The sequence below is a fragment of the Homo sapiens genome, chromosome X, assembly GCF_000001405.40.
Source record: "Homo sapiens chromosome X, GRCh38.p14 Primary Assembly".
NCBI lineage: Eukaryota > Metazoa > Chordata > Mammalia > Primates > Hominidae > Homo > Homo sapiens.
The window spans coordinates 39,477,058-39,478,782 of record NC_000023.11 but is presented as its reverse complement, the minus strand read 5'-3'; the positions used below and the strand labels follow the sequence as shown (position 1 = coordinate 39,478,782).

Here is a 1,725-nt window from a genome sequence, read left to right as displayed (position 1 = left end):
CACTGTCCACCCTGGCCCATCAGTTATCATTTTAATTCTTCAGCATCTTCTCCCATTAGGCTCCACTCTCTCAAGCCACTCTCCTTACCACCAAATAAAAACATTTTCCATTAGCTCGTTTCATTTTCCTAGGATCTCTGACTCACTTAATCCCCTGCATTTTCCCCATTTGGTTAGGGGGTCCTTTCCCGCTTCTGGCATCTCCACTGTGGCTTCTCCGTGCACACAATAAGAAAGAAGCCCCATAGGGTTTGAAAAAGGTAGGGGTTGTTATTACCACCCTGTGTCACAGATAGGGAGGCAGAGGCCCAGAGAGGTGGTGCAAGGTGCTGAGACCACATAGCTGGTGGTTGACAGAGCCTGGCTTGGAATCTGAGTTTCTCTCTAAACCTTGGGGTGTCTCCTTACATTTACTGTGTTTACAGAATGCCTGGTGGTCCAACCTACTGTCCAGCTTCTCATGGGCAGGGACCACATGTGACCTCACTTGGGACTGGAGTTGTGGCTTCTGTCTTTACAAAGCATTTGGTAAAATGAATTGCTGTCTCCCTAGATGTAGCTGAGAAGGGGGTCTAATGGATCAGTTCCCCTGGGAGCTGGGAGCATGAGAAAGGTCTGGCTCCACTTTCCGGTCCCCCTCAGTGGATCTGGCCAGAGTGACCCTTTCTCCAGGAGCTGGGCGAGGGCCTGTGCCCCTCCATGCTGTGACTCGCACGGCGTTGACTTGGAAGGCTTGTAAAGCCCGCAGAGGGAAGGCTCCCTCGGGGGCCTAGGGGCCAGGAAAATGCAAGCCCTGTTCAACTGTCACCCAGCAACGCCACACACAAACATTTGCTGACAGGAAGAGGCGAGCGGCATTAAAGCTGCCTGACAGGGAGGTGACGGGGCAGCAGGGAGAGTGTGTAATTGCCAAGCCGGAAGGCTGGCCTGTGGCCAGCGTATTGAGTTTAACCACCTGTGTCACTGCCCTCCACATCCAACGAGGAGGATGCCCGCTGCCATGTTTCCAGGCTGAGCGCCCTGTCATGGTCTGGTCTGGCCTGACCCTGGGAGGACATCCGAGGGGTCAGCTTTGGGCATGGATTCCCACTCCTCCATCACAGCCTGAGCCGCTGAGTCAGGGCCCAAGTGCAGAAGCCAAGAGCGGCCCCAGCTCACGGGCGCCCCCTCTGTCAGAACAGCTCCTGCCTTACAGCTGGTGGGTCCTTGGGTGCCCCTCTTTCGTCCCCATGCTTCCCCCTGCTGCTGCAAGCTCGCTGTTCTGGAAACAGCCTCTGAGGAAGAAACGGGGCCCACAGAGGGTCTTTTGGTGACCACAGCTCCTGTTCCCTCACACTCTCCGATCAGAAGATGTAGAGCTGAGCCGAAGTCAGAAGAGAGGACCCTGACAGGGCTTTTCGGTGGGTTTAGGTGACACTAGGAGAGTCTGGCCCTGGAAGTCTGAAATTCTCTCCAGTCCTCCGTTCCTGGCCTACTTTCATTCAGTGAAGCTCCTGCTCAGCCCTATATTAGCCCGGAAGCCTCTCCAAAGGTGCCCACAGTGGCTGTGCAGCTGGGACCCAGGAAAGCTGGAAGGGGGAAGAGAAGAAGCGAAACTGTCCCCCAAAAGGCAGCCGGCCCCTTGGCCTATAGAAGGTCGACCCGACAGCAGGCTATGAAATCTGATAGCAGTCTCACAGCTTCCAAGAAATAATTATTCCCAGGAAAGTGTTTTCAAGTTTTAGA

At 54.7% G+C, this 1,725-nt stretch overlaps 1 annotated feature.

Annotated features, from left to right (window-relative positions):
* Positions 287-829: an enhancer, noted in NCBI's record as "H3K4me1 hESC enhancer chrX:39337208-39337750 (GRCh37/hg19 assembly coordinates)". NCBI's record gives its function as "activates a minimal SCP1, AML or CMV promoter by ChIP-STARR-seq in primed H9 embryonic stem cells {active_cell/tissue: H9 hESC(primed)}" and the evidence as "EXISTENCE:reporter gene assay evidence [ECO:0000049][PMID:30033119]".